The sequence below is a fragment of the Homo sapiens genome, chromosome 3, assembly GCF_000001405.40.
Source record: "Homo sapiens chromosome 3, GRCh38.p14 Primary Assembly".
NCBI lineage: Eukaryota > Metazoa > Chordata > Mammalia > Primates > Hominidae > Homo > Homo sapiens.
The window spans coordinates 9,154,885-9,175,972 of NC_000003.12; the positions used below are offsets into that span (position 1 = coordinate 9,154,885).

The following is a 21,088-nucleotide window of genomic DNA, read 5'->3' on the forward strand; positions in this document are numbered from 1 at the left end:
GGTTTAGCTTTGCTTTTTTGCTTTGTTCTCTTTATAATCAATGGTTATATAAATTTGCAACCAACATATTTCATCAATCTCCAGGCTCAGAGGTGGTTTGTTTTATGTTTTTTGTTTTTTGTTTTTTTTTTGCATCCTGTTTTTTAATCTCAATATTCACTTTTCTTCTAGATGAAGTTGATCCTTTAGTATTTCTTTCAGCAGGCCTCGGTGTGTATTAAAGTGTCTTCTTTTTGTATATTTGAAAGTGCCTTTATAGCATCCTCACTCCCGAGTGCTAGTTTAGCTGAGCGTGGAGTTCTGGCTGACAGTTAGACTCCCTCAGCATTTTCAGGATTCTTCCTAATGGCCTTTTGGCAGCTGGCTGTTGCTGATGGGAATGTCAGGCTAGCCGTTGTCCCTTTGTAGGTAATTTGTCTTTTCTCTCTGGAGGCTTTGAGAGTCTCTCTTTGGAGGTTTGCATTTTGAAGTTGCACTACAATCTGTCTGGGTGTGGATTTATTTTTGTCACTCATGGTGATTTTTCAATCCCAGAACTCATGTCTTTCTTCAATTATGGGAAAATCTGCATTCAATATCTTAGCAAATATTGCTTCTCCTTCATTCCCTCCATTCTCTTCTTCTGGAACTCTGCTTGGCATATACTGGAATCTTTCCATCTACTTCCTGTGTCTCTTAACTAATCTTTCATAATTTTTATTCATTGCCCCGGGTTGGGTCTCTCATGAATTCCTCAGCACTGGCTTTTAATTCACTAATTCTTCAATTATGTCCAGTATCAAGTCAATGTCATCTATTGAGGTTTTAGTAATAAATCTAAAACTATATTCTGTATTTCCTGATTTCTAGTTGATTCTTTTTATATCCGGTGTTCTTGTTTGGTTTCTGCCTGCTTTTTATTTTATTATTACTTATTCTTTTTTATAGATGCTATTGCTTTCTTTTTCTTGAGACGGAGTCTCGCTCTGTCGCCCAGGCTGGAGTGCAGTGGTGCGATCTTGGCTCACTGCAAGCTCCACCTCCCGGGTTCACGCCATTCTCCTGCCTCAGCCTCCCGAGTAGCTGGGACTACAGGCACCCGCCACCACGCCCCGCTAATTTTTTGTATTTTTAGTAGAGATGGGGTTTCACCATGTTAGCCAGGATGGTCTCCATCTCCTGACCTCGTGATCCACCCGCCTCGGCCTCCCAAAGTGCTGGGATTACAGGCGTGAGCCACCACGCCTGGCCAATGCTATTCCTTTCTTCAGCCCCTGCAGGATCCTCAGTATACAGGCTTTGAAGTCATTATTAGCTTTTGCTTATTTCTTATCATCAGAAGTGAGTTTGGGAGGGTGTCAGGAGGGTTTTTGTGTGTGTTTTGTTTGTTTTGAGACAGGGTCTTGCTCTGTTGAATGGGAGGTTTGTTTTGTGTTTGTTGCATTCTCTCTCAATCTCACTCTCTGCTCTCTTGCCCTCTGCCATTTTGCAATTGGCTTGTCTTGGCCCAGCAGAGTTCCCAGTGCAGAACCAGACCCTGTGGCAGCTCCGGGCTTAAATCCCATGGTGATATTGGGGACATTGCAGGTCTTGACAATGAGCTGCTGGGTGGCTTAGCCAGGTACTGTCTACAAGGATGTGTTGGTATATTACTCTGCCATAGCCTTAGACATCAATCCAGAGAAGCTTTCTTTCTAACCTCCTTTCCCAGGTCAGGGAGCCCAAGTCTCACCCCAAATTTCAAGTAATAAGCCTGGTTTGGGACTCTGCCTGTCAAGGGGCACTTTAAGACCCATTTGCTTTCCCTTAATGTATTCCAGGGAAGCTATCATTTGGTCTTGTCACTAAAGCATTGAGGCTTTGGCCCAGGAGTAGGGAAGAACTGCACTGGCAGGGAAGCAAGATCTAGTAACGTATTTCCCAAGGGACTTGGACTAGTTCTGGGAGGGTGACAGCAGTGAGGAAAAGCCTGAGTGTGTATTTCAACAGACAGGAGGCAGCCAAGCAGAGCAGGGCCTAGACCTCAAAGGGGCATCCCCTGTACCCTTCATTCCCAAATAAGTAAAAATATTTATTAAGACCCTACTCTGTGCCCCTAAGCACCCTAGTTTTCTTTAATATTCCAAGTATAGATCCATGGGTTGATCTGAACCTTTCAAGATGTTTCTATTTGTAGTGGGGTATGTTTCTTGAGCATAATGAATACTGTATTAGTCTGTTCTCACACCGCTAAAAAGAACAACCTGAGACTGGGTAATTTATAAAGAAAATTTATAATTGACTCGCAGTTGCACAGGCTATACAGGAGGCGTGACTGGGAGGCCTCCAGAAACTTATAATCACGGCAGAAGGGCGAAGGGGAAGCAAGCACGTCTTCACATGGTGGCAGCAGAGAAAGAGTAAAGGGGGATGTGCTACACTCTTCCAAACATCCCAGATCTCATGAGAACTCACTATCACAAGAACAGCAAGGGGGAAATCCACCCCCATGATCCAATCACCTCCCACCAGGTCCCCCTCCAACACTGGGAATTACAATTCCACGTGAGATTAGGGTGGGGACACAGAGCCAAACCATATCAAATACCATAAGAGCAACTTAAAGATAATAACAATAACATGTATTTGTTGAGTGTTCACTATACACTAGGTACTGTCTAAGCACTTTACACACATTAGCAAGTTTTAGCCTTAAAACAGGATGCTGTTGTCCTTATTTTATGGAAAGGAAATGGTAGCTTGCCCAAGGCCCACAGTTGGTAACGGCAGAGTAATGATAGAGTCTGTCCCCAGAGTCCCTACTCTTGGCCACTATACCACTGACCTTCTCTAAATTATGCTGGGGGATACCAGGAATTAAAGAGAATCCTAAGAGGAAAATGAAACCCAGGCTAAACAGTTGAGGACAACTTATACATCTATAACCCACACATATGTATATGTCACACTGTTAAAATACAAACTGCTACAGTCAGGGGGACAACTAATGATGTGACACAGGAAGTAATCCTACAGGAAAAGTTTTCAGCTCGAGGGAAGATTCTTCAAGGGGAGACTCAGACCCACAAGTTTCTCTTTTACTACTCAGTGAATAACAGCTGTTGTTATTTTCACCTAATCCTTTTTGTAGTCTCTGAAAGTCCACCTAAAATAACCCTTCCAGGTATTATCAAGAAGTACTGCCCCTGGCTGAGCCCACCAGGACTGTCAGGACAACCCCAAGGCTGTGCTCCAGGAGCCTGCTCGGGCCTGTAACAAATTGTAAAAGAGCAAAGCTGCTTCCTACTGAGGTAGGACCATGTGACCAAATCAGGGCTTCTCTCCGGCTCTCCTGTCCGCTCAAACCTGGGAGGGTTCTGTAGGATACTATTACAGAAGCTGGTTCTTTACAAGGAGGTGGGGTGGGGAGGGATTCTAGTCAGATTGGAGGTCTTATTAGCCAGGTTCTCCTTGAGGTTTTGCTCAAACGCCAGAGAAGGGCAGTTGCTCATTCACATGCAGCCCCCTGTTAATGTGACTAGACATATAGGTCCACTGTCAATATTAAGGCCTTTCAGCTGTCACCAGTGGAGTTTATTTCACAGTCATATTCCCTGAGGTTCACATAGCACTTTGCTGTTTGAACAATCATGTTCGATTGTGTGATTGAACTGATTCTCAAAAATACCCCCGGTATTCATTCATTATCCCCATGTTCCAGGTGGGAAATTATCCCATATCACCTGCAGGTCCCACAGGCAGAAAGTGGCAAAGCTGGGGCTCAAATCACTCACTTAAACCACCTCTGCAGAGAAATTTAAGAAGCTATTCTCTCTCTTTGCACAGTAGGGAAAGCACAGAATCTCAGACAGACTAACGCAGTTGTTCCGTTCCTCAGATCCCATTTGCAGTGCAGGTCTGAGTCTCTCCTGTGGGACTCAACACTACAAATCCCTTGACAACAGGTAAGCTCTCACTCTAACCTGCACCATGACCCACAACTCAGGCATGGGAAGGCCTCAGCTGCCTGCAGGAAACATAGCCGTGGGCTGACCCAAATGAAATGCCCTCCCACTCTCCAAGCCTCTCTGACAGAGCCCATCGGCAGCCAGAGGAGGAAGAGTCTCCCCTACTCACCCTAGTCTCTGCGCTGCTCACATGCCTGAGATGGAGCTCCTCTGATACCAGTTCTGGCCCAAACAAGGTCAAAGGGCACCAAAGGTCAAAGGGCCTCTGTTCCAGGTTCCAACTCGTGTTCTGTACTGGGGTCCTCGGGCCATCACTCTCTTTGCCTGCCCACCTAGAACCAAGGTGCTAACACCTGCCTATCCCAAGAACCCTCCCCACCACCCACCATCCCACCAGACTCCTGTTGGTATATTCCCAGCCTCGGCCCATTTCTTGGTGCTTGTCAGTCTGTGTAGATCCCTGATGATATGTCCTCTCGCTTTTCACATCTGCTGACTGTCCTGACGGGACCTGCCTTCTGGGGCCAATGCTTCAAATCACTTACCTCCCCCGGCCAGCTCGCCTGGCCTCACCACCCACCTCCTTCTTATCTCTGCCACCTGGGCCACTGTAGGACACCATCATTGGATCTATTTGTCTTTCACTTAACAAATAATCAGCAAGCGTGACAGGGCCCCCTGCCGCCACATCAGTGAGAGAGATAAGGGCAACAAAGACACGATCCTGGGCTACATAACCACTCAACAGTTAAAGACACATAACCTGGGTTTTAAACAATTTTGTGTTTATCCCATGACACACAGTTTACCCATATAACAAACCTGCACGTATACCCCTGATCCTAAAATAAAAGTTAAAATCATAATAATGTTGTGTTTATATTCTTGCCTTCCAAGTAGACAATATGCCCCTGAGAGTAAGAACCACATCTCACACTTGTCCCACTTTGCCTCCCCCAACTATAAGTGCGCCACATGGAGCCTTTCCCCAGTGCTTGCCAGAAGAGGCCAATACTGTCACCCTGCCCGTTATTTTTTTAAATGATGATATACACTGCAAAATGAGAATATGGAAAGCAGAAGATGGAAGAAGGAAGAGGGAGTCTGCCTGTAAGGCCCACCTGAGAAGGAATGGACACTCATCTCTCCCATCATCATCCAGCCTGCCTCAGGATGCTTTCCAAAAAACTATTCAAGGCCCTGTCAGATCAGGTAGTGGTTGAGAATGTAAGCTCTGGAGCCAGGCTGCCTGGGTTCAAATCCCAGTGTTACCACTGGCTACCTGTGGCCTTGGGCAAGTCATTTAATTGCTCAGAGTAATACCTACCTCACAGGGTTATGGTGCAGATTAAAGAGTGAATAAGAGTTAATATATGTTGTGGTGGTTTTATAATACTACCATAAATTCTTTGACCTTCTCTCTTTAAAAGAGACCTAAGAGCATCCTTCACCTCCCCCTAAGTGTGGGACATATTTAGTGACTTGCTTCCAAATGAATAGAATATGGCAGAGTTGATGGTGTATGACTTCCAAGCCTAGGTCATACAAGGCATTGTGGACTCCTCCTTATTTTTTCTCTGAGGGAGCATTCAACCTGGAAGCCAGCTGCCATGCTGAGGATGCTCAAGCAGCCCTATAGAGAGGTCCACGTGGCGAGGAACTCAGGCCTCCAGCCAACAGCCATGTAGTCGGCCACTGTGGAAGCTGATCCTCCAGTCCCAGTTAAGCCTTTAGCTGACTGCAGCACTAGCAAGATCTTGACTGTAAGCTCATGGGAAACCCTGAGCCAGAACCATCCAACTAAGCCATTCCTGATTCTTGACCCATGGAAACTGTGTCATATGAGAAGTGTTTGTTTTAAACTGGTACATTTTGGAATAATTTATTTCACAGCAATAAATATTACATATGTGAAGAATTGATATACGTAAAGGGTTAATAGAGACTTGGAACAGTTTCTGGCTTACACAAAGTGCTTAATATTATTTTATAATAATAATACTAGGCTATGTACTATTCCCCAAGTTTATCACACATTTTAAAATTTAGAAAAATACAACTTGAGCACCAAAATAAATAATGATTGTAATGGATATAAACCATTGAATAAAATAGAAAATAATGAGTCCATGCTGATATAAATGAATAAATGAAAGAATAAACAAACACATAAAGGAGAGGTAAAAGCTCTATCTTGCAGCAGAATTCCAAATATAATGGTAGAAGGAATGATGGAATTATAAAAATCACCATTTGACAAAACATGCTAAAACTAGAGGGTGAATGTTTGACGAGGAATTGAATATTTATGCAGTCTCAAAGGAGTGCCTACAAAATGCTTATTAAATACTAATTAATTAATGAGAACAAAATACTTGTTAATTAACTTTGCAACGGAGAAACCTGGCAGATACCACCTTAATCAACTGATAAATGTCAGTATCACCAGTAATGGGACAAATCAACATCACATGACTGCTGATATGCTCCACTGAAAAGAACTCCCATGGGCCAGTGCCTCTCTTGCTCATCGCTTTATCCCCAACAGTGGTTCATATGCAGGGGCAGCTCCTGGTTCCTGGGTGCTGTGTGCCAGACACTGCACCAAAAAGCACAAGACACGTGTCATCTCATTGGATCTTCACATTGCCTCTAAGCTCTGAGAAGTGAAACAACTTGCCCAAGGTCACGTGGGCTGGAAGAGGCAGAGATAGGATATAAACCCTGCTCTATCTCCACATTGGACTGGCTCCCTTGGGCACTCAATAAATGCTGAATTGAGTCCTTTCTGCAGCTCCAGGAGGTTTCTCGGAAACCAGGGTAGTTGCCCAGGACAGAGTTGCATTCTCCTTTCCTTTGATAAATATCAGTACCAACAATAGGAGGGAGAAAAGTGCTAGATGTCGAATCCAAAGGTTGCAGTTTCAGCTTTGCTCCTCATGCACAGGGATCTCACTCATGCTGGCTGGGTCTCCATCTGCCCCAACTTTAGACCAGGCCAGTAGCTTTCAAACTTCTTTTAAGCAGCCAAATTTTTTTTCAAGCAAACCTTTGTCAAAACCTCAATGTAGCATCATTCACAACAGCCAAAAGGTAGAAGCAATCCAAGTGTCCATGGGTAGATGGACTGGATGAACAAGGTGTGCTATATCCACATAGTGGAATAGTCTTCATCCTTCAGAGACAGGAAATCCTGTCATATGCCACAACATGAATGAACTTGAAGACATGCTAAGTGAAATAAGCCAGTCACAAAAGACAAATACTGTATGACTCTACTTACATGAGAGACCTAGAGTTGTCAAGTTCATAGAGACAGAGAGAGGAGTGCTGGGTGCCAGGGACTGAGAGAAATGGGGAGTGGGTTTCAGTTGCGGAAGAAAAAAAAGTTCTGGAGATGGATGTAGGTGACAGTTGCACAAGAATTTGAATGTACTTAATGCCACTGAACTACACACTTAAAAATGGTTAAAATGCCAAATTTTATGTTATGTCTATTTTGCCACAATTCAGCAAATAAAAATAACCTCAGTATATGCAAAGATGAAGCAAAAATAGGGAATGGGATATTAAGATGCCCCCTTTACACACCTCCCCCCAAGATAACTGCAAAGAATCCTCCTCCCTGAGGAGTACATGGGCGATTTCAATCCTAATATTTGGGGCTCTGGGAGCAACATCTGCCTGTGGAACTTGCTGCCAACAATTTTGAATCCTGAGTGATCCCTGCTCCTTCTGGTCCACTTGCAGGCCCCTGGGATTAAGCCCCGCCAGATAAACCACAGTGAGGGCAACACCTCCAACACAGGGAAAAGGATGACCTGGCAGGTGGGGGCACACACAGCGTGGGGAGCTGGCCATGGGTGAAGCACCAAGGGTGGGCAAGGCTAAGGAGCATGAGCTCTTAGAGCCCAGCAGCATGGCTGGACCCTGGGCAAGTGATTAACCTCACTGAGTCTCAGCTTCCACATCTGTGAAATGGAAACAACAATGGGAGTACTTACCTTGTAGGGTGTTTTGAGGTTTAGTTGAAATAGTGTAAATGACTCCAAAAGGGGCAAGCCAGTACAGCAGAGGCAGTGTCTGGCAGTGGATGAAGGTCGGGATTTGGAGGCAGGCTGAATTTCAGTCTCAGCTCTGCCACTTATCAGCTCTGTGATTTTGAGAAAGTTATTTACCCTGTCTGTGCTTCACTTTCTGCATCCATAAAAAGAGGGAGGTCACCGTACCTGCTTCTTAGGTGATTATGAAGACTATGTGGGCTGATACAGGTAGAACAATTCCTGGGACACAGTCAGTGTTCAATAAACATGAACAATCGCTGTTAACATCATCTGGCCCAGGCCTCAGTCTGTCCAGGCTGCCCTGGCTGAGATCAAGAGGGATGGAGCCACATGAGAGGAGCCAGTCTGTCCGGGCCAAACCCAACACAGGCATCAGCGCCCACTCTCGTGGGAGAGATCACTTCCAACCTGCGGCTCCAAGCTAAGGCGGCAGGGCCTGGGGCCTCCTCCAGGGCGGTTCAACCAGCGAAGGAAGCAGAAAAGAAGGAAATAAGACTGTTTTCCAGTCTTCCCTCAAAAACAAGCAGACGGTGCGGCTCCCTTCACCGGCCTGACATTTGCTCGGCTTTTGGTATTGACCGAAGGCGTTTTGAATGTGGCTGCCCCTTGGCCTTCCCCTAGGTCTTGGCCTGTGGCTCATCACTGAAGTGGGGCTAAATTTAAGCCATGCGGCCACTCAGGCCCAGCTAGAAGGCTGCCGCTGTCAAAGCAGAGGGGGCAGGGGAGGTGGGGTACACAGGAAAAAGGTGGCAGACCCCAAAGGGCTTCCAGATGTTGGGATCGGCCTGGCCTGAACCACTGCAAGGATCTCTGCTCCATACTCCTAGCTGCAACAGGTTGTAGAAATAAGGCCTCTGCACAGTCAGGGCTGGGGTGAGTCAGAGACCCTGGGATCCCACCGGTGGGAAACATCCCTATAGGAAACACTGACACTCCCAGTGGAAACCCTTGTCATTGTCACCACTGGGGTAGACTCAGCTCAACTCCTTGCAGATGAGGAAGTTGGGACTTAGTACCCATTGTTTCCATTGAATGCGCACCCACTATTCCAGGCACCGTATGAAGCTCCTCAGATGTAGCATCTCCTTTAATGCTCCCAGCAACTACTATTCTTTTTTTTTTTTTTTTTTTTTTTTTTTTGAGACAGAGTTTCACTCTTGTTGCCCAGGCTGGAGTGCAATGGCGCAATTTCGGCTCACTGCAACCTCCGCCTCCCAGGTTCAAGCAATTCTCCTGCCTCAGCCTCCCAAGTAGCTGGGATTACAGGCATGTGCAACCACGCCTGGCTAATTCTGTATTTTCAGTATAGACGGGGTTTCTCCATGTTGGTCAGGCTCAATGTCACTCAGCAACTACTGCTGATGCTGAGCTTGGACCCCAAATCTCCTGACACCCAGACTATTTTATTTATTTATTTATTTATTTATTTATTTTGAGATGGAGTCTCACTCCATTCCCCAGGCAGGAGTGCAATGGTGTGATCTCAGCTCACTGCAACTCCACCTCCTGGGTTCAAGCGATTCTTGTGCCTCAGCCTCCAGAGTAGCTGGGACTACAGGCATGTACAACCATGTCCCGCTAATTTTTGTACTTTTGGGAGAGACAGGGTTTCACCATGTTTGCCAGGCTGGTCTCGAACTCCTGACCTCAAGTGATCTACTCACCTCAGCCTCCCAAAGTGCTGGGATTATAGGTGTGAGCCACCGCACCCAGCCCCACCCAGACTATTTTACAAAATTTACACACACTCACAGATGCACACAGTTTTTCTGAAAAACAGCTCAGAGGCATCTGATATCACATGCTAAGCATCTCCTTGCTGGTTGAACACATATCATCTTCCTTGCCAAACAATATAGGTATTTCAGGTAAATATCATGGCCACTCAGTACTTCAGATAGCCTCTACTACTGTCGGCGTCTACAGTGTTCATACCACACCTTGAGGTTAGGTGATCTTCCCTTTGATCCACAGAGAAATCCTCCTTTTACAGATAAGAAAACAGGTAAAGTCATGCTTGGTAAATAAGCCAGTAGGAAGGTTCCTGTGGCTACCAACCCAGTGCCAGCCCAGTCTGTTTCCCTGCTCCGTCTCTGGGTCTCCAGGTGAGTGGAGTCCCATGATCCCATACATTTTGGAGCCAGCACCTGCCCTGTGGTTCCCCTTGGGGGATGCAGAGGCAGGCTGGGCTTAGCTAGGGTCGAAGGTCAGGCCTTTGAGCCAGGAGGATGCCCCAGGGCCTGGGTCTGCTGGCAGTCTCCAGTGCCACATTCAGAGGAAAAAAGGGGGCCCCCCAGTGGAGGCCTATCTTCCTGCCATCTTCTCCTACCAGGAAGGGAGGGTCATGCTACCTGGGTCTGGGAAAGAGCCATGCTGGAGCGAGATGCCCACCATGTTGGCCAGCAAGTCAGGCAGCCATGGGGCCCTTCCCAGGGAAGGCCCCAGCACAAGCCTCATGTCCTGCTCTGGAGAGAAACCTGAAGTGCATGAGTCCCTTCCCTGTCCCTCTTCTCTGCTCCTAACCCCCTCCTTCATCATCCCTGTGAGCCACAAACCCCACCAAGGCATCATTCCTTCCTCCTGGTTCTCTCAGACTTTCCGATTCCTTTCTGATCTTTCTGTTTCTTCTGCTCTACTGCAAAGATACTGCCTCACAGGCTTAGCTCTTTCCAGGGTTCTGATCACGTCACCCCTCCTGCTTAAAACCCATCTGTGAATTCTCTTAGTTCTTAGGATAAATGCCAAAATCCTCAGCAGAACCCACAAGGCCTGCATGCTTGTCCCGATTACCTCTCAATCCTCCTCCTCCTTGCCACCTCCACCCTGCTCAGCCACACCTGTGTTCTTCAGTCTTTCCATCCCCAGAGCCTTTGCATGCACGGTTGCCTTGGTCTGCAGCGCTCCTTTAACCTGGCTAACACCCATTCAGCTCCCTATCACCATTTGTCCTTCCTTGAACCCTCAGCTAGGTCAGATGCCTTGTGAAATGCTTTCACAGATCTGAATTCTGCTCCTTCAGAGCCTTATCTCAGGTTGTAATCATACATCTTATATATGTGATTATCTGATTAATGAGGAAGAAAACCCCATGTGAGGGGGCACTGTATCTGTTTTCACTTATCACTGTATCGCCATCAATCAATACTTGTTGAATACACAATAATGAGTGAGTAGTGAATGAATGAATCTTCTACCCTACTCCCCAAACCCAAGCCTTCCCTGACACCACCATTCCCATCACAGCCTTTGCCTGTGAAGAATCTCCATCTGCCTGCTCTCATGTGTCTAGTCTATAACCTTTCTTCCTCCTTGGAAGACCACATCCTTCAGTTAATCCTTCCCCACTAGGTCTGAGCTCCAGGAAGGCAGGCATCATGCCCATTTCCTTCACCTCTGTAACCCCAGTACCTAACATAGAAGTGTTCTGTGAATGTTTATTGAATGAATGACTTCTCATCTTTAAAGCTATCTGGGCCACACTGCTAGATGGTCCCACAAATTTGGTTATCCTCTTTGTTCACAAAGATAGAATTTTAGCTGGGCTCACCACTGCCCCCAGGAAAAAAATTTCCCAGCTTCCCTTGCAACTAAGGATGCCCATGTGACTAAGAGTTTTCCAGTGGAATGTGAGTGGATGTGACGGTGACCCAGCCTCAACATGCAGATGAATGAAACATCCTAGAAAATGGCAGAGCAACAATGTAGAAGGAACGAGGACCCTGAATGACCTCATGGAGCAGAGCCTCCAAGACAGCTTAAGCCAGAGAGAAATTGACTTCTATCTTATTCAAGCATAGTACTTTGGGGTGTCTCTATTCTAACTAACACCTCGTTATTTACAGACCTCCAAGCCACAGCAAATGTAAACTTGGCTGCCAGCACACAGCCTTCCTCATGACTTCCACTCTTGCAGTCATCCAGGGCCACAGAAATATCCATGCTGATGACCAGTTATCACCCTGACTTCATTTCTTCATCCTCACTAATCAAACTGTCTTCCATTCCATCCCTTCTTAGAACTTACTCATATGGCCCCACCCTGACCTTGTCAACTCCCAGGAACTGCCCTACCTCTGAAATCCTCAACTAGAAACCCCCTCTTTCTAGCTACAACTTCTCATCCCTCTGTTTCTACCTGACTCAACTATCCCTGTTCTTCAGCCTCCTGGAGACCCCTAGTCCTCGGGCTCTTAATCCTTCTGCGAACCAGCAGCCTTGAGAGACATGATGCTCTCCCACCATCAGCAGAAGCTCACCTGTGACAGCAATTCTCCTGGGCAGGAGAAAGGGGGAGGATTGATCCTCCAGGGCTGAGGGTGGTCCTGCAGTGGCTTTTTCAGCCTCCATCCTACCTGCCCTCACTATAGCCTTGCCTTGACTGCTCACTCTCCCCACAATTCCAATTTGGATCAAGACACAGAGGCCCTGACTCATCCTGCTGGTTTCCCCTCACTGCCTCTTCACTCTCTCTCTCATTCTCCATTGCTAGTTCCCTTCTGTACTTACACATTTGACATTTGCTGCTTCCCAGGAGTCATTTATCTTCCTCTTCTCTACCTATGTTCCCCTGCAGCAACCCTCCCCAGGCCTATGCCTCACTTTGCACACATGCTGACATGCCCACATCCATGGCCCATCCACTGACCTTGCTCCTAAATTCTGGGAGCTGAATTCCCTGCTGTCAACGCCTAGGGGGGGAGCAGGAAGTTGGGACCGCATTCCTTTCCCAAGCCCCTAGCTTTTGGCCAGCTCTGTCCTTGGGATGTGCTGGTTTTAAGAAACATCCCCAGATGTCCAGGGTGCAACTTCAGGAAGGAGGAGAATCCAGCTCCTAAACTCTACTCTGCAGCATCTGCTGAAGGCCATCAACTCATCCCACTTCAGATTGAAAGCAAAAGCTATTTTCTCTACTTCTACACAAGAGCCCAGCCTAGATATCTTTCAGTCCTCAGCATGCCTCGCTGTTTTCTTCCCACCCTACTCCTCCCTCAAGACTGCCTCCAAGCGCACTCCATGGTGCATGCAGAAGCAGAAAATACCTCCAGGGAACTAAATCCACCTAATGACAAATAATGGTAGCTATAGCATTTGTACAGCCATTTCCAATTCACAAAGTGCTTTTTTCACAGACATTAGCTCCTTGATTCCCCACCACAAGTCTATGCGGTAGGTGACACTCTCCCCACTTCTGCAGGGCAGTAAAAGGAAACCCGGAGAGGTTAAGAGACACATCCAAGGGTATAACTAGCAAGTGGCAGCATGTCTTTGTCAACAGGAGTGCAACGAAGTCAGAAGTGAGGTCTAAAATGCAGTCTTGACTTAGCCCAATAGCCCATCAAAGACAGCCTGGCCCCAGGCCCTCTCCAGTCCTTTGCTTGGATCTGGACAAACTCAGACATTTCATCCTAAAGCCCCATTTTTGCCAGTGGCAGGAGCCCAACCATCGTCTCTGCTGTTAGCAACTGCTCCAAGTGTGCTCAGAAGTCACCTGATTGGTCAGAAGCAACCCCACCCCGCTCAGGACTGGAGCTGAGGCCCTGCAGGAGAATCTAGTGCACGTGTGCCCTCCCTCACTGAAACCAAGGCCCAGCACATCACGCATGAGCAGGATGTGCAGTTCCTGCAGCTGGTTTCAGAATGAATCCTTTGTTTCCATTCACCTGCGCTTTTTAACATCCGCTTAACAACTTTCAAAAGCCCAAAGGTGGCAGAATGAAATTACTTAGAATAAAAGACATTCCAAATGGAGACCTCTTTCTGGGTTTTCAGCCATCTTTTCGTACGTGCTTGGAGGCAAGCCAACTAAAAGATGTGTTTCTTAAACCAAGTAAGCTGTTAAGTAACAAACTGGTCCTGCAGATATGAGGAAAGAGAGAAGGGAGAAAAAGGAAAAACCTATTGATTCATAATCTCTCATTCATTCATTTTTTGGGCCCCTACTCAGCCAGACTGGCACAGAGTGGCAACATGAATATGCATATTTATATTCTGATATGTTACAGTGGTTAGGAGCATGAACCCTGGAGCCAGACCCTGTGGTGCCTCTCCAGGAGTTAGAGAAAGGTGTCCCTTCCTCCCAACAGTCACAGCTCTGCACCCAGGTGAGAGCAAGATTTCAGACTCAACTGATCCTTCCACCCTTGTGGACCCTTGTGCAGTGCATGGCCAGCACAACTGTACATGGTAGCACTGATTTCAATCCCGGCTCGTTCAGCTATTGTGTAACCCTGGGCAAGTTTCTGAGCCTCTCTGTGGATCTATCTGTTCATCTAGGAAATGAGGATAGTAATAGTATCTATCTTACAATATTGGGGAGCATGAAATAAAATAATGCACAGGAAGTGCTTAGCACAGAACCTGACTGCAAAGAAGCACTTTGTAAGTATGATTATAATCATTATATATGAGACATAGCCCCTGCCCTTGTGGAGTTGACAGTCTGGTGGGAGAGGCAGATTGTAAAAACATTATATCTGTTTATGTCCAGGGTTGGAGGTGGGGTAGCAGGACATGAGTGAGAAAACTGCTCTTGATGGGTGAGTAGGAATTCAAGCAGCAAAGAAAAGGTGGGCGTGGGAGGAAGACTATTCAAGGCTTTGAGAACAGTATGTACAAAGGTAGAGGAGTTACATGTCATTGCATGTTCCAGGAACAGTGAGAAGTTCCCACACTATTAACTACTAATTATGAATTTCTGCTAAGCTGAAATGCACAATAAGTGAGTAAATAATTCCCTCCAGTGCCAAACTTATGAGTCTCAACACTTGGGAAACTCAAAGTAGCCATACTTGGCATCAATTAGGCCAACACCTTGTGAAGTTGACAATGGCTTTGAATTAACCAATACCACATTTCTCAGGTTACTCCAGGACCTGGAATGTTATTGCTTGCTAGAGAATCACTAAATTGGAGTTCCCTCTGGTACAGAAGGAAGGGGATCAGTGCTTTCTGAAGGGGAGGATGGGTTAGGGGGGAAAAGCCTTGGAAGTCAGGGTTCCTGGGTTCCTGCCCCACTTTCTAGGCAAGTCATGGTCCCCTTTCCTGAGCCTCAGTTTCCTCTCCTGTAAAATGAAGGGGGCTGGGTTGGAGTTTCTTCCAACTGGGAGACAGTACACCTAACTGCTTACAGCCTGGACTTTAAAGTCAGACAAGCCTGTGTTGACATTTGTTAAGAGGACAAAATGAAGATTTAATCTATGTAAAGCACCTGACACCGCCCCACAGGAAGCACAGATGAAATGATAGAAGATTTGATCACTGCCGTTTAGACAGTGCTGGTGTGTGGGATGTGTGGGTGAATGTCCGTAGAAGAAACCGCCCCCAGTCTCACACCTCTCAAATCTACAAACCAAAACTCTTTGACACTTGGGAAGTTTTTGAGCCTGCCGAAGCCCTGCATCACGTCAGTGCAATGAACTCCATACACTTGAGACTTGGTAACATTGTCTTAGTATTTGGCTTGAATGAACTTTCTGTGTTTTTTTACGTGGAAAACACTCACATGACAGCCTCGGAGTAGTAGTGCGGGGAGCAGCGGGGTGGGGGCAAGAGGGTTCCAGGGGAAAGAAACTCTCCAGCAGCAAAAGAATGTGACTCACACTCTCACACAACAGAAGAGAGGCGACCTGAGCAGAGGTGGGCTGCTTTTTAGGAAGTCGCACTCAAATGGTCTTCATGGCTCCAAATGGGGAGAAGGTTTTAGCACACAGTCCCTGAAGACTCATGGACATTCCCGGTGGTTCTGATTGTGAATGATGCTGAAATCAACCATTGCAAAATACTCCCAGCATACCCTTTCCTCTGCACCTTCGCCCAGCGAGGCAGATGCTCTTATGGAGCTACTTCACAAGCGTGGGTCTGAGGCCCAAGGAGGTGAGGGCACATGCCCAGGTCACACACCACAGATACCTGCCCTCAGGCCTCGGACGCCACAGCTCAGCACTGCTCCTCTCCCCCAAGCCCTTCACTTGCTGGTGTGTAATGAGCACTGTCTCAGCGCTGGGGGAGCCATGAAGAGGCCTGGGTCACACAGTGTCCTCACGCTCCAGCCTGCTGGCAGAGCAAGGCCATGGGATTCAGGCCTGTTCTGTCCCTCAGCAGCAGGACAGCGCACGCATCTGAGGAGTGCTGATCCTGGCCTTGGGCAGTCAGCTTCCGCCAGCTGTGCCCTGCTATAGATGGCCTGACCCTTCAGGGCCTGGGCCCCACAACAGAATATTGTGGAAGAGAAACCCAAGAACCCCTGAGGCCCCAGCAGCCTCCACAGAGCCCCATGAGAACCTGAAAAAGTCCTGGAAACCTGAGGTCCCCTCTCCCTCACTACTGGAAAAGAATTAAGACAACGTGTTACTCCTTGGGCCCCAGGCAGAGGCCAAGCTGCCCTCGAAACATCCAATCTGCTCCAAGTTCAGAGGCAGCCTCCAGCGCATGGGAAGAGGGTGAGGCTGGGTCAGAGCCCTGCATTTAAATCCCCACTCTGCCACTTAAGACAATTCTGGAACATCTGTGCGCCTCAGTTCTCTCCTCTCCAAAATGGGAATGCCCACAGTGCTAACAGCACAGGATTGCCCTGAGGGTCAAGTGGGATAATAAATGAGAAGGACTTTTTTTGTGAACTGAAGCCCTATAAAAATAAGTGGGATTATGAGTCTTATTATCCCTCGCATGGTTCTACATGACTTGGAAGGACATCCAAGAGTTTCTCATCAGAACCTTATTAAAATTCTTATTAAAGTCTTATTAAAAGTTTTTTTATTATTATTAAAATCTTTGCCTGGATGCTTCAAAATAGCCCCTGTGTGCCCAAACTAAATATGATGTGAAGGAACCAGATAGCTAAAGTACACCAACCCATACTCAGAGGTGAGAGGCTCTGATGGGATCCAAATACTATATTCATTTCTGGGAGCTGGCCCAATAGCATCTCGGACTGAGTGACTTAAGCAGCCGAAATGTATTGCCTCGGTTCTGGGGGCCGGAAGAGGACACGGTGCTTGTCGGTGGGGTTGGTTCCTTCCAAGGCTGTGAGGGTGAATCTGTTCTATGCCTCTGTCCTGGCTTCTGGGGGCTGCCTGCAATGTGGCATTTCTCGTCTCCTGCCGTATCTCTGGATTCATGCTCCCATGGCCTTCTCCTTGTGTATGTCTGTCTCTATGTCCCAATTCTCCCTTTTTATTAGTTAGAATGGATTAGGGCCTTTCCAAATGACTTTTTCTTTTCTTTTTTTTTTTTTTTTTTGAGACAGGGTCTCGCTCTGTTGCCTAGGCTGGAATGCAGTGGTGCAGTCTCCACTCACTGCAACCTCCACCTCCTGGGCTCAAGCAGTCCTCCCACTTCGGCCTCCTGAGTAACTGGGACTACAGGCACATGCCACCATGCCCAGCTAATGGCTAATTTTTTTGTATTTTTTGTAGAGACAGGGTCTTACCATGTTTCCCAGGCTGGTCTTGAACTCCTGGACTCAAGTGATCTACCCACCTCAGCCTCCTAAAGTGCTGGGATTACAGGCATGAACCACTGCACCTGCCCAAATGACCTCATTTTAACTTGATTACCTCTGTAAAGACGCTATTTCCAAATAAGGTCACATTCACCTGTACAGGGGTTAGGACTTGAAAATCTTTTGTTGGGGGACACAATCCAATCCATTACCAATACCTTCCCCCAAACCTCTCAGGTGCTCAGAGCCTGGATCCCCAGCTCCTGTCTGCCTCCTCACATGTTGTCTCTCATCTGTTTCCAGCCGAGCTCTGGGCTGGCCATGGTGAAATGTCCAACCCAAGACTTCAAGACTAACCCCTTTCTGGCCCCAGGAGCTGGGCCTCTCCTGGGCACTTGAAGGAAGAGCCACAGATACAACGTCATAGGATCAAAACGACAAAGTGCACAGACCCTCCACTGACAGTAACAGAGAGAGCTGGGGAGTGAGAAGGGCAAGCGCAGACTAGAAGGGTGAGACAGAGACGGGATATGCCCTGGAAGGAGGCCCTGGTGCGGGGCCATTGCAGAGGCTATGTCTAGTGCGGTAGATGAGACTCTAGGTGGCACAGGGACGCCGCAGGCAGGAAGGCCAGAGGGAGAAGTAAACAGAAACAGTCATGTGAGAGGAAGCTGGGAAGCTACCAAGGCAAACAGGAGAGGTGGTGGGGCATGGCTCGTGGCCACAAGCCCCTAAGCACTGTGCACCAGGGCCAGCCGAGTCAGCTGGCCTGGCGCAGTGATGCTGCTTGCACTGCTGGGAGGTATGGCCACATCTGGCCCAGCTCTGAGCTGGGCGCTTCCCACACTCCCTGCTTCAGCGGCAACAGGGCAGGAAAGCTTCAGCAGGCCGAATGGAGCAGCACTGCACACAGATGTTTGCAAGTGCTTTGTGCACCACCCACATAAGCACAGAGGACAGGCTTACAGCCCAAAGTTCTAATGCCGGGGCTGTGCCTGACTCTGGCAGGCCCCAGATGATGGTCTTGGGTCATTGCCAGTGAAAGCACTACCCTCCTTCAGGAGAGTATCTGTTTGAGAGTCACTGACACCTACTAAGATATGAAAAGAAGGCGCAAACATAAAATAAAACAGTTCCTGCACTCAAGCCGCTCACTGGACAGTGGGAGAAATAGCTGAGCAAAGAGGCAGTTTGAATGAACTAGAATAAGAGCAGAGAGGAGAAGATGATGGGGAGAGGTGGGCCTGGAGGCTGATAGGATGCTTGCTGGAGAAGACACTGAAGCAGAAATCTAAGCATCAATCCCTCCAACGGGCAACTCTGTCGCAATCCAGTGGCTTCACACATGTTGTTACTTCTGCCTGGACCCTCCCCACCCCTGCCCACCTCTCCTCCCCATTCTTCAGGCCACTTCCTGAGACCTGACCATTGTCCCAGCCACCCACCTCCACCCCTGCCATAATTCTCTCCCCGAACACTGCTCTTTCCCATCACGGGACATATTGCAGTCTCTTAGTAAACATCTATTGGTGTTTGCTTCTTAACATTACCCCCAGAGCATGGGAACCAAGTTCATTTCCCACTGCAGCCCAGCACAATGCCAGGCACGTGATCATGCTCAAAAAGCACTTATTGGTACACAGTGTTCACAGGAGCACCATTCATAATGTGTCCATCGACGGATGGATGGGTCAACCAGATGCGGTCTAGGCACACAGTGGGGCACAACTCAGCCTTCAAAAGGAAGAGAATGGATGGACCTTGGGGACAGTATGCTAAGTGAAATAAGCCAGTCACAAAAGGACAAATCGTGTAAGAATCCACTTATATGAGGTACCTAGAGGAGTCAGATTCACAGACAGGGACTAGAGGAAGGAGGGAATGAGGAGTTATTGTTTAGTTTGTACAGTTTCAGTTTTTCAGGTTGAAAAGAGTTCTGGAGACAGATGGTGGTGATGGCTGCACAGCAATGTGATATATCTAATGCCACTGAACTGTACGTTGTAAAATGGTTAAGATGGTACATTTTCTGCTATGTGTTTTTTATCACAATTAAAATAATTTTTAAAGGGTGGAAGTGTTTAACAAATGAGTAAATGAGGAAGTGAAGATGGGAGGAAGGAAGAAAGGAAACGGAGGGAGAAAGCAAGGTGGAGGGAGTAGGGAAGGAGAGCAGGAGACTGCGGGCAGAATGAAGGGAGAAAAACCACCACCACCACTACTTAGTAAGCACCGACTTCATGGCAGGTGCTGCACTGAAGGCGTCATATTGATCATCTCACTGAATGTACCAGCAAAGACGCACAGGCGGGAGTTCACCTAAGGTTTCAGGACCCATGAAAGAATTCCAGCCTCGCCTGACCTTGCCCGTTCTCACCAGAGGGAAGTCGCACCCAGACGGGAGTGAGGGGGCTGGAATCTGCTACTTCTCCTCCAGGGGGACTCCCATTTGCAAAGTTCTCCCCATGTTTTTCATCTCATTTGATCCTCCCGAGGAGGAATCAGTACTCGCAGCTGACAGAGGAGGAAACTGAGGGCAGCAGAAAGCAAGTGTAGGCTTGTTCCTGAGGCTCATGGGAGTGACTGAGGCCCATGTGAGAAATGGGAGCAGCTCAGCAAAGGAAGACACCAGGGAGGCGTCATTCCGTGGACTGGGAGGACTGTGTGCAGGAGTGGGGGTGATAGCACTCAGTGCATGCAGGCACTGCTGGGCCTCATTCCCACAGTCCCCCTACATCCGAAACTCCCCGGGATGCTTAGGAACACAGGCCCTGTCAGCCAAACACCTAGGAGGCTGACAATGGTTTGTTTGTCAGCCAGATGTTCCAACATCATTTAAGCATGAGCTTAAATCCCAAGCCAAAATAATTCCGTTAATTAAAAAAAGAAAGAAAGAACTCATCCATATCTCAGAACTCCCACAGCAGGCTGGTTTCTATCTCTAACAGGGCACTTCACCTGTCTTATACTTTGGTTTCTTATGGTTTCTTCTGCACTGCTCTGTCTCCCCTACTAGACGACGGGTGTCCTACGAAAAGAGAGCATTTTGTTTGCCTCTGTATCCCCAATTCCTAGCACAAGCCAGGGCCACAGAAAGTCCTGGATAAACATTTACAGAATGAATGTGCATTTTGCTGTGAACTCATCATGAACATGACACAGAGCCCTATTCCCCTGAGGGAAGACACAGCTGGATGGTCCCAGAAGGACCCAGCACGGGGAGCCCTCAAGGTGGGGCAGCTCAGGGAAAGGCTGGTCTGCTATGGGGAAAAGCTGGGACTCTGGGTACCCCCAGGCAATGAGGATGCAGCTTTGTGCCGCATTCCTGGCACTCCTAGCACCACGCCTGGTACAGGAAATATTTGTGGAGTTGAGCCTGTGCCAGGTCTACATTCTTTCTGTTCTAGACCATCAACGGAAATCAACACTTTACCAGCATGTCCCAAACCAGGTGTGGTCCTTGGGATGCTTCTACATGTTTAGAGAGAAAAAGGGCTCCGTTATCAGCAAAGGTGATTTCCCACCTCTTGAGGGATTAAAGTGCATAGACACATATCAGACTGGCAGGGGTTGAGCACCAAATCTTCTGTTTCCTAGAAGGTAGCTTGGGATTCTTTTTTTCTTTTGATATGGAGCCTCACTCTGTCACCCAGGCTGGA

At 47.6% G+C, this 21,088-nt stretch overlaps 1 protein-coding gene across 14 annotated transcripts in view, besides 1 other annotated feature; it reads right to left on the minus strand.

Moving 5' to 3' along the window:
• The window catches only part of SRGAP3 (SLIT-ROBO Rho GTPase activating protein 3), a 382,437-nt gene that overhangs the window by 174,294 nt on the left and 187,055 nt on the right, over positions 1-21,088 (minus strand). The window lies entirely within an intron of this gene.
• Positions 13,184-13,233: an enhancer, noted in NCBI's record as "active region_19396". NCBI's record gives its function as "activates an Ori minimal core promoter by ATAC-STARR-seq in GM12878 lymphoblastoid cells {active_cell/tissue: GM12878}" and the evidence as "EXISTENCE:reporter gene assay evidence [ECO:0000049][PMID:35858748]".